Source organism: Homo sapiens, chromosome 5 (assembly GCF_000001405.40).
Source record: "Homo sapiens chromosome 5, GRCh38.p14 Primary Assembly".
Lineage (NCBI taxonomy): Eukaryota > Metazoa > Chordata > Mammalia > Primates > Hominidae > Homo > Homo sapiens.
Genome location: NC_000005.10, coordinates 90,292,809 through 90,302,309, shown reverse-complemented (window position 1 = coordinate 90,302,309; position 9,501 = coordinate 90,292,809). Strand labels below are relative to the sequence as shown.

Below are 9,501 nucleotides of genomic sequence, written 5' to 3'. Positions count from 1 at the left end.
TAAGCATAGAGGGACACTAGAAAGAAAATTTTTAGCATAGATGAGTCAAATTCCCAGATTATGGAATTTTGTCCCAAGTTAGCTATATTCTAGCCTCAAAGGGCTGGTGGCTTCACTACCAACTTAATGCCTTGCTAATTGCTTTGATTTTCTTTTCTACACAATATGAGAGTTATGTCTTGAATACCTAGGGTCAGATTCCTCATTGGTTTGCTCACATATCTGAAGTCATAAAAGATCAGACTAAGAACTGACTGTGAGGGCAATGGGTGACCAAGAAGAAAACTGGGTCGAACCAAAAGAAGTGCTCTATGTTGGTTTTCTGATAGATGAAACCATAGAATATAGTTTGGAGGAAAGCTAAGGTTATGGTCCAGAGAAACGGACATACATGTATACAAACTAAAAGGGTGAAAGGTGATTGTATAACCATAATTATGGAATCAATAATAGTTGCATACGAGGAGAGTTAGGAGAAAAATATCTAGCTAATTTTTATTGAGTATTTATGAAGTCCCAAGGCACATTCAAAACACTGTACATGCACTAACTTATGTAATAATATGCAACCCTGTGGGACAGGAATATTATTCCCATTTTTTCCAGATAAGAAAACTGAGAGACATAGAGAATAAATTACTTGCCCAGGGTCTCATAAAACTAGAAAGTAAATGGTGGAGCCAAGATTGTAATCTGAGCTTAAACCACTTGTGATATTTTAGCTGTACCCACAAAATATGGGGTAGAAACTGGCAACCAGGTCACTCAGGAAGCCAAGTCTCGACATTGTCTTGTGGTAGCATGAAACTTATATGTGCACCTGGAGGTGTGGAATCTTAATAAAAGACACTTTGCTTGGCTGAACGCCATCTGTTTAGGATGTGCTTTTCCTGATCTGGTTTCAGGTCTGCAGTGTATACTTCCTGTATATCTGACTGGCAGAACTATGATAATTGATGCATGAATATCCTCATCCTTCCTGGCTAGGGTTATGGGCTTATTTTTTTTTTTCTATAGAAGCATCTGACTTATTTCCAGCTAAGAAGAACCCCTCCTCTTCACACCCATAAGCAATAAGAAGCCCTGTGCTTTGAAGACTCATATTCTTATAATACTTTAGCTAAACAATTGTAAAAATCGTCTCATAAGCAGCTATGAGAATGTTCTCTTACAGGGTTCAGTAACAGAAACAATTAAAGTGTAACTTGTGAAAATAAGTGTGATTTTTTTTCCAGGTTACTCATCTCAGAAGAGTATCTTTTGCTTGCCCTTTGTCACTGGACACAGACACATGCTCTGGTAGACCTCTCTTCTTCCTTCCTCCAGCTTTGGGAAGTAAAATTTTACTTCTGGGGGGCAAAAAAGTAAAATTTTGTCTGCCCTGTTGGAACAGTCAGTCCACATGCTTTAACGCCAGATCCCGTGTCATGTAATTCCAAGGAACATCTTTCACACTGGTTCAGTCACAGACTAAATAGGAATTTGGCCCCTAGAGTTGTACAACATGGGGATTCTGTGTGGAGCCTTGGCCTAAAGTAGGCCAGCTAGACTCTACCTGAACTTTGAATCATGAAAGGAAAACCCATGAAAAAAATAGAACTTCATCATTTCTGGGGACCTTCCTAAGGTTTCTGAACATTAATTCTTGCTCTTGAGGTCTATGGTTGCCCTACTTCAATGTTTCCCAAGAATTGATTGTTCAGATTTTTAAAAAATCCTATGAACTATCCTGGCCGTGTGTGGTGGCTCACGCCTGTAATCCCAGCACTTTGGGAGGCCGAGGCGGGCGGATGATGAGGTCAGGAGATCAAGACCATCCTGGCTAACATGGTGAAACCCTGTCTTTACTAAAAATACAAAAAAATTAGCCGGGCTTGGTGGCGGGCGCCTGTAGTCCCAGCTACTCGGGAGGCTGAGGCAGGAGAATGGCGTGAACCCGGGAGGCGGAGCTTGCAGTGAGCCAAGATCGTGCCACTGCACTTCAGCCTGGATGACAGAGCAAGACTCCGTCTCAAAAAAGAAAAGAAAATCCTATGAACTATCCTATGCCTTCCAATAAATTACTTTTTATGCTTAAATTGGCCAGAGTTGGCTTCTCTTGCTTTCAACTGAAGAAACTTAACTGTATAACCTTTTGTATGAGTTTTATGGCTCACTTTTGAAATTTCTCCACATGTTGAACATGGCTTTGCAATGTTACTAAAGTAAATGTATCTTCACTTTTCATAAGCTCAGAACAATAAAACATTAGAAGGTATTTATAATGTTTGTAGATAGACATACTGTTATAAACATATATCATATACATAAACTTTTCCCTACAAAATGGCCATTTCATACAATTCAACTTATTATTATTATTATTTTTGAGACAGGGTCTTGCTCTGTCACCCAGGCTGGAGTGCAGTGGTGCGATCTCAGCTCACTGACCTCTCTGCAACCTCCACCTCCCAGGTTCAAGCGATTCTCCTGTCTCAGCCTCCTGAGTAGCTGGGATTATAGGCATGAGCCACCATGCCAGACTAATTTTGGTGTGTTGAATAGAGGCAGGGTTTCACCATGTTGGCGAGGCTGGTCTGGAACTCCCGACCTCAGGTGATCCACCCACCTCGGCCTCCCAAAGTGCTGGGATTACAGGTGTGAGCCACCTCGCCCAGCTGATTCAACTTATTAAACACACACACAAAAATTCATATTTTTCTTCTTTGCGTTTTTTCTTTCTGTACTCTCAGGGGCAATATGTGCTTGCCATAGAATAGATGAAAGTGAAGGCATGAAAATAATATCAAGAGGAGGAAAGTGTGAAGATAGAAGTTGGATTGGAAGACACTGAATGCTCAAAGAAGTAGCCAAACAAAGGGAAAGGGTGGCCTGGGCAACAAGGTGAAACCCCGTCTCTACAAAAAATATAAAAAATTAGCCAGGCATGGTGGCGTGTGCCTGTAGTCCCAGTTACTTGGGAGGCTGAGGTGAGATTGCCAAAATTTCAAGGCCTATTATTGATAATAACATGTGAGATTTGCTCTATTTACTGAGTGTCAATAATGAGCCAGGAACTAATTTAATCCTCCCAACAATCCTGTATGGTAGGTTTTATTATTCTGATTTTACAGATACGTGTGTAATCTGTAATTCAAAGAGTTTAAATAACTTTCCTAAATCCTTCTGCTAGTTAGCAGCTAAATATAACTGGAATCCAGGTCTTTGTTTTCACCCCTACCTCTCTCACCAGCAGCTCCCTGAACAGCTTTTCTTTTCATTCTCTTTCAATTTTCTCCGTACATGGCTCCTGAATGCCTCGTGTGTACAAGCTCTTTGCTTTTTTCTACTTGTCCCACACCCTCGTGATCTGCAGACAGTTAATCTTAACTTTTTCATTGCAAGGGAGAGAGATGCCTAGGAAGCAATGCTAGAATTTTTGGAACAAGGCAAAGAAACTAGAAGTTAATACATGAATGTTTGTTCGTATTGTATTTGCTTATGGATTAATCATCATCTATTACTGTTTGTTCCTATTGTGTTTACCTATGGATTTTTTCCCAATTCTAATTTTTACTGTTTTAAACTAATGAATGAGTTAAACATTTACCACTGCATAATTTGTACCTCAGTGTCTGTGTTTTCTATATATTTTGATGACTATTTTTGTTTATTCACTTTGAAGTGGTGAATAAATTAATGTTTCCATTCTGCATTTAACAACTTTTTTATAACCTCACGAAGTCTTTTGGTAACAGGCCATCCTACATCAAACCAAAGTGTCAAGTATTTATTAAGTGCAAATAAAAACGTGCTCACTCCTATAATAATTGTTACGAGGAAACAGAAGTCATAGAAGACTTGTTTCCTACTCTCATGAAGCTTGCAAGCCAGCTAGGATAATTAGTTAAGGGGAAAAAATAGTAAACAGTATGGGCCAATATACACTGAAGTATGAGATGGTTACTAGAAAAACTGTAAAAGTTTATAGAAGTGGGAGAATGATGGGGTTTGGGGTTGCCATGGGGAAGTGGGATTTCAGTTGGGTCCTTAAGGACATTATCACTTGGATGAACAGAGAAGAGATGAAACATTCCAGACCAGGGGAGCATGAGGAGAGGCAAAGAAACAGAAATGCATAATACCAGGGAATAATATAGATATACTAGATAGAAACCTTTCTATTTCTGTGCTTGTTGATTTAAGATTTGTTGCATGCCAACAATTGCCTTTCTATGCCATGTACATTTTGGTATCTGTCAATCACAGTTCTGTTGCATTTCATATGATATTTCTTATTTTAACTTGTTTTATTGTTGTATATGCTACTTACTTTAGACTTTATTATTTTACTTCATGGTAATGAAATAATACATAATTTTTTGTTCATAAATTGTTTCATGTGTATATCCCAGCACTTAGCTCAATACGGAACATATAATTGGTACACAGTTAATGCTATTGGTTGTATATGGGTATAGGAGTGTTAGTCTTAATCATTTAAAAAATTATTCTCTGAAGTCACCTCTTTTATATAATCCAAGCAGTATGAGAAAACAGGCTCAGGTGTATGGCACCATCCTAGAGATTGTAAGAGCAGATTGAAATATTTTTTCTCCTGTGTCTGCGAAGAAGAGGAAAGGTGAGAGCGAGAAAACATTCCATTACTTTAGAGAAAATGCCAGTGAGGATCTAAGTGTGAGAAGCTTTCCAAGTGATAGGAGGGCTCATGGCTTTGCTTCCCATTTGGTAACACTGCAGTGTTGTGACAAGATCCTAGATACTGTGGCAGACCTGTGGGTGGCCTCACTTGCAAGCATCTCAGAGACGTGCTCTCCTTGTACTAGGCCATGAAGTTAAATTTTGTTTGGAAACTGACTGGTTTATACGTCTCTTGGAAAGTAAGCATATTGCAGGTATTTATTTCCAGCACAACAGCGTCATTGGCTGTAACTAATAAATCCTTTACACTGAGACCAACTTTACTAAGTACTGGCATGGGTAGGAAATGCTCCTGGAGTGAAGACATTTCAAAGACATTTTAATACAGTGGCACCATGCAGAGGGCATTAATCTTTCTTGTGATTTCCTCTTATTGTAACAATGGAAAAGGCTTCTAATGTGCAAACCTCGTTAAATCAATCATCTTGGGAATTTACATGCACAGTGTGATAAGAGCAACAACTTTCTCTACCTTTAGGCAATTTTCCGTATGTTTTGAAGTTGGGATTTGGGGAAAATAAGCTCTTTGATGGATTTATGATTCAGCTTCAAATGTAATATTTGAATTCCACTTTATTAGCCAGAAGAAATAGAAAGCCCTAAACAGCTAATAAAGTATGTTTCATTTTTAGATAATATTTATTGTTTACACACTACTTTGGACACTCCCTTTATATCTTTAAGCTATAACTACACTGACGGAATATAATAGGAAATGTTTTCATTTGGAGCAAGGAGCTGTTTGTTCATTTCTTTATTTCTTTATAATTTTCTGCTATTTTTATTTAAGAATTTGACTGCTGTAAAAATTTGACTGCTGTTATTTGACAAAACAGTTTTATAAAGATGATTAGAAATGGTGAGGAAAATGTTTAAGACAAAGTGTCCTTAGAGTTACAGATTTTTGCCTCGATTTAACTTTTTCCTGTTTGTATATAGAAAAGTACATTGGAAAGGAACACTAACTTCCAGAATATTTTAAATTTGGACCTAAATGCACATAGGTTATGCCTACACAACTACAACATTAGCAGTGGCAGGTGGGAGTGACAAAGTTGTAGGAGGCACTGTTTTAATGCTAGATTAGGATCGGCCAGAGGAAATGCATAATTAAAACATTTGCTTTAAATCACTCTCTGCTGCTATATTAGGGAAAGAAATTGATTCAAAATGTTAACTTTGACTTGCTTTTATTAAATGCCATCCATTTTTACTTGGTGGCTGGAGTATGTCTGGGCATTTCACAGCTTGATGGATAGTATGGGAAGGTCTAAGAGTACACAGGAGTGCACTGGTACCATTGTTTACGAACAAGTATCTAAAGTATCTTAGAGTTAATTTGGTTAGTGTTTATATTGCTAGATCTCCAGTGAGCTCTGCCTGAACTATGTATTCCAGGAATATCTAGATTGGATCTATAGACTAAGTGGGGAACTCTTGCTCTGAACTCAAGAATTCCACAAATCAATATCATATTGAACCAATTTTTTCACTGCTTTCCTCTGTCCCTGGCTTAGTATTTTGGAAGTAATATTAACTCTTTCAGAGACATTGATGCTATATCTATAGCAAACAAGTGCTTTCTTTTTGTTTTTCGGTTTCTTTTCAGACCTAGAGCCAACAAGACAAGTGCTTTCTAATTGTGTTATACTGCCTTATGTTGCTCTATTGCAGTATGAATTGCACTCATAATGTAGCATTAAGATGTTGAAAACAGGAAGAAAAGAATTTACTGAAACAAAAGGACTGTATTATATTATAAAGGATTATATTCAAAATAAAATCCAGTTTAGTGTCAGAAAACTTTAAACATCAAGCCATCATATTTCAAAAGATATATTGTATATATGTTTGTATGTATATAAGCAAATGCATATATACGCACTGAAAACATTTTGCAAAAACTGAGATTATATTCTGTATTCTCAGAAAGGGGAGTGTAGAGTCATTTAAAATGTCATAATTGTGAGATTTCACATCTTAAAGGATCATGTATTCTGTAATCATCAAACATTTGTCAGACTCTTGTTTTCCCCAAAAACCATGGTTTGACTAAACCCTGTAGCCTTGAAAAAGAAGTATAACATTGTATTTCTGTGTGGCTAAAAGCTTACATGACGTCTAAGTAATCTTACATTATCTATTAGTTGACAACTTAGATCTCCCTGGCTCTGAGGAAAGTGACAACTGTGGGAGTGAAGTAAGCCATTGAGATAAGAGGTTATCTAAGATCTAACTGAAGAGTGGGCCTTTTTCAGATGTACTTTATTTGTAAAGGTGGTTTACATGTAGGTGGTATCATATGCATTTTTAAAAAAGAATACCATTTTCTTCTTCCTTCTCTTCCTCTTTTACACCTTTCTGTCCCTTATCATCTTGTCTCCCTTCCATAGGGTTTTGACCTAATACTTCCTGTAGGCTATTCTATGGCTTTCCTTGGCATCAAACCTTAATGAAAATTTCCTTGGTGACTGTCTACCTATGAACTTGAGTTACTCACAATGCAGCCTATCTTTCTTTGATATTCTTCTCTGGGGGAACTGAATGAGAAGGTCTCTATTCTCTAGTTCCTTGGCCTCTGTATAATTTTGAGATTTGAAAATTTGAACTGATGTTTACCTGATCACATTCAGGAAGCTGCACTAAGAGCTCTGGTTCTTTTAAGAAAGCTTCCAGAGATTATTAGATAAATGAGCAGAATATGTCCCTGAACACTGATGCTCTTATAATAATGTGACTAAAAAAGCAAAAAGCAGCAGTCCCCTCAGTGGCGAAAGGGCTGGTTTCTTTTCTCACCTGTGCAAAGAGCAACTACAAAGCAAGACCCCTACTGGGCGGAGGGGAAAGTACTCCAATGTAAAGTACTCTTATGTACAATTCAATTACAGATGAAGAGGAACGTGAACAACGTCAAACCTAGCAAGGAGTCGAGGGAAGAAGGCAAGGATTTAGTAAAGGCTTGGAGACAAATGTGTTACAGTATTTTTTATTATATTATATTATGTTATACTATATATTATACAGTCTTCATTATTATATTATTATCAATAAAATATTATATATCACATACAATCATTTTATACAATTAAATAAGTATTTTGCCAAAAAGTATTATGATAAAACTTTATATAAATAAATGGTGGCATTATTATTGTATTATTATTCCTTCCCTCATCACCAAGTGTGCTCCTCGTACAGGAAACTTTCAAATGTAATATAGAACATACTTGCTCCAAGCATATAATTCTGATTTAAAATAGAACCAGAACTAATTGTGTAAGAGTGTGTCAATGTACAACAATGGAATTTTAGATTTATTTTAAAAGTGGAGCACAATCTGTTAATAATGTGGTCTTATTTCCATTCTTCCCCTCTTCTGTGAGAGCAAAGGCCTTGGCACTCCATTCTTGGCTTACTCATTCCCACCCATTCTACTCCTGTCATCACACCGCATTGTTCTCACCACATCTCAGCTCCATATAAGGAAAGGCATGCCTTCACTCCCACCCTACTCTGTTTGCCTTGTCACCCTGGAATATGTGTTCTGCTCCCTGTTGCTTGTCTATTCTGGTGCTTTCCCTAGTGATTGATGCTGGCTTTCTGTATTAGTCTATTTGCATGCTGCTGATAAAGACATATCCAAGACTGGGAAGAAAAAGAAGTTTGAGGCTGGGTGCGGTGACTCACGCCTGTAATCCCAGCACTTTGGGAGGCTGAAGCGGGTGTATCACAAGGTCGGGAGTTCAAGACCAGCCTGGCCAACATGGTGAAACCCTGTCTCTACTAAAAATACAAAAATTAGCCCAGCATGGTGGCAGGCGCCTGTAATCCCAGCTACTCGGGAGGTGGAGGCAGAGAATTGCTTGAATTCGGGAGGTGGAGGTTGCAGTGAGACGAGATCACGCACTCCAGCCTAGGCGACACAGCAAGACTCAGTCTCAAAAAAAAAAAAAAAAGGGAAAAAGTTTTAATTGGACTTACAGTTCCACGTGGCAGGGGAGGCCTCAGAATCATGGCAGGAGGCAAAAGGCACTTCTTACATGGCAGCATCAAGAGAAAATGAGGAAGATGCAAAAGCAGAAACCCCTGATAAAACCATCAGATCTCGTGAGACTTATTCACTACCACCAGAACACTATGGGAGAAACTGCCCCCATAATTCAAATTATCTCCCACCAGGTCCCTCCCACAACACATGGGGATTATGGGAATACAATTCAAGATGAGATTTGGGTGGGGACACAGAGTCAAACCATATCACTTTCACACATTTGATCAGTATATACAATATTTTCCAGCATTCTCATGAACTCAATTTGGTATCCGTAAACTTCCTCCCTCCTTTGTGCCTTTAATCTTTCATACCATTTCCTTCATTAGGTTTTCCCATTTAGTTTTCAAATAAAACCAATTTAACTAGCAGATCTCCAGACAAATGGCTTAGGCTTGGAGTCCACCTTGTGTCTGCACCATGCTTGTCAGAATCTTGTGAGTGGCATTTCCAAACTCAGCTCTTGAGAAATTGATAATTGCCCTTGAATTGTTAAGAAGTTAAGCATCTTAATATTGTTGAATGACTTTGGACTGATTGATAAAGTTGGGTGTATGCTGCAAATGAGGGGTGGGAGTGCTTGGCAGTTCTCCAGAGAATGTTAGATATTGGGAAGAACACAGAAGGAAACTTGATACAATTCAGGAATTTGTAGAAGGGTTATGGAACAGTGTTGGGTCCTGAATATGGTTGAATGATGTTCAAAGTTGCTCCCTACCTGGAAGGAGCCAAGAAGAAGAAGAACTTGG

At 38.2% G+C, this 9,501-nt stretch overlaps 1 annotated feature.

Moving 5' to 3' along the window:
• Positions 8,084-8,378: a silencer, noted in NCBI's record as "tiled region #5802; HepG2 Repressive non-DNase unmatched - State 23:Low". NCBI's record gives its function as "represses a minimal TATA promoter and a strong SV40 promoter by Sharpr-MPRA in HepG2 cells {active_cell/tissue: HepG2}" and the evidence as "EXISTENCE:reporter gene assay evidence [ECO:0000049][PMID:27701403]".